We start from the raw sequence: 2,035 nt of genomic DNA, 5'->3' as shown, positions 1-2,035 counted from the left end.
TCATTCTGTATGTTGTCTTTTCACTCTGTTGATTATTTCCTTTGCTGTGCAGAAGGTTTTTAGTTGGCTATAATCCCATTTGTCTATTTTTTTTTTGTTGCTTCTGCTTTTGAGAGCTTATCAAAACAATCTTTGCCAGGCCCAATATCCTGAAGCATTTCCCTAATGTTTTCTTTGTTTTCTTCTAGTATGATAATTTTATAGTTTCAGGTCTTATATTTAAATCTTTAATCCATTTTGATTTGATTTTTTTATATATGGTGTGAGATAAGGTCTAGTTTTATTCTTCTACATATGGATATTCAGTCTTCACAAAACCATTTATTGAAGAGACTGTCCTTTCCCCAATGTATGTTCTTGGAACCTGTGTTGAAAATCAGTTGGCTGTCAATACATTGATTTATTTCTGGGTTCTCTATCCTGTTCCATTGATCAATGTGTCTGTTTTTATGCCAGTACCACACTGTTTTGGTTACTATTGTTTTGTAGTATATTTTGGAGTCAGGCAGTGTGATGCCTCCAGCTTCATTCTTTTTGCTTAAGATCGCTTTGGCTATTTGGATTCTTTTGTGGTTCCGTATAAATTTTAGGATTGTTTTTTCTATTTCTGTGAAGAATATTGTTGGTATTTTGATAGGGCTTGCATTGAATCTGTAGATGGCTTTGAGTAGTAGGGATGTTAAAAATTTCTCTTTTCCTTTCCTTGCAGTTTATTCATTTATGCCAGGTTCTTTTTCTACTTGTGTTTATGATTTCACTTTGTGCTGAAGTTTTTTCTCAAATTTCTAGTGATCCCTGGTTGTCTATTCCCATTTAAATGTGAGCCACAAAAACAATAAAAAACTGTGACCATAAAGTGGGCTTTTCTGTAGGGGATCAGGTTATAAGCAGGAAAGACTTATTTTCCTTGTTTTCAGGAAAGGCTTAAAGATTAGGGTCTTTTGATCTTTTCTTTGGGCCATTCAGTTTCTCCCCAGAAGGATTTTTCAGCTTCCTGCCATGAGGTGTGTGCTTGGCTGGTGGCATCGTGCACACAGGATGGAGTCTCACTCTTTGATAAGCAGATTTTTATTTAATGCCCGTTTTTTGTTTAGCAACTCACCTTTGCCCTCTATTCTCAGCGCCTCTAGGTTTGGTGATTATAATGCCAATTACGCTGCCTTTCTAAAGTGTATAAGTTGATATTTCTTAGTTCTATTGTAATTTGCCTTACTGGTGATATTTGAGGTTCTATGATTAAGTCAATAGAACTAAGAAAATCAAACATATTTAACATTCTGAGAAGATAGCAAATGTTTTAAAACGTTACATGCAATGAGAAAAATTAATTACAGAGAAAGAAGAAAGAGTTTTCTTTAGGCAAAGACATTTTCAAGGGATTAATTTTTGATCTGATAAATGCACGTGATGAAAATAAGGAAAGGCAAGTTACTAAGCTGCTGTTATATGTGATCTAGAAGACATCAATTCATATGTGGGCAGCCATGACAAAGACACAGCTAATTGATTGAAACAAGATCAGAGGATACAGGCCTGGTGCAGAGGCTCACGCCTGTAATCCCAGCACTTTGTGGGGCGATGTGGGCAGATCACTTGAGGTCAGGAGTTCAAGACCAGCCTGGCCAACATGGCAAAACCCCAGTCTCTACTAAAAATACAAAAATTAGCCAAGCATGGTGGCGCAGACCTCTAATCCCAGCTACTCAAAAAAAAAAAAAAAAAAAAAAGACCAGAGGATACAGCATACAAACACTGACAGATGCACACCCTGAAACCTAGAGGTCAGGAGATGCTTGCAGGAGTAAGCAGAAGTCCTTTCTTAAAGCTAAGGGCAGAGAGAAGTTGCAAGAAAGAGAAAAGTGACTGGCTGCACGTGGTGGCTCATGCCTGTAATCCCAGCACTTTGGGAGGCTGAGGCAGGCAGATCATGAGGTCAGGAGATCGAGACCATCCTGGCTAACATGGTGAAACCCCGTCTCTACTAAAAAAAAAAAAAAAAAAAAAAAAAATTAGCCGGTTGTGGTGGCGGGCACCT

The 2,035-nt window shown here is 37.8% G+C and overlaps 1 annotated feature.

Moving 5' to 3' along the window:
- Window positions 882-1,383: an enhancer, noted in NCBI's record as "NANOG hESC enhancer chr14:49935031-49935532 (GRCh37/hg19 assembly coordinates)". NCBI's record gives its function as "activates a minimal SCP1, AML or CMV promoter by ChIP-STARR-seq in naive H9 embryonic stem cells {active_cell/tissue: H9 hESC(naive)}" and the evidence as "EXISTENCE:reporter gene assay evidence [ECO:0000049][PMID:30033119]".

Source organism: Homo sapiens, chromosome 14 (genome assembly GCF_000001405.40).
Source record: "Homo sapiens chromosome 14, GRCh38.p14 Primary Assembly".
Lineage (NCBI taxonomy): Eukaryota > Metazoa > Chordata > Mammalia > Primates > Hominidae > Homo > Homo sapiens.
This window is presented reverse-complemented; position numbering and strand designations above follow the sequence as displayed.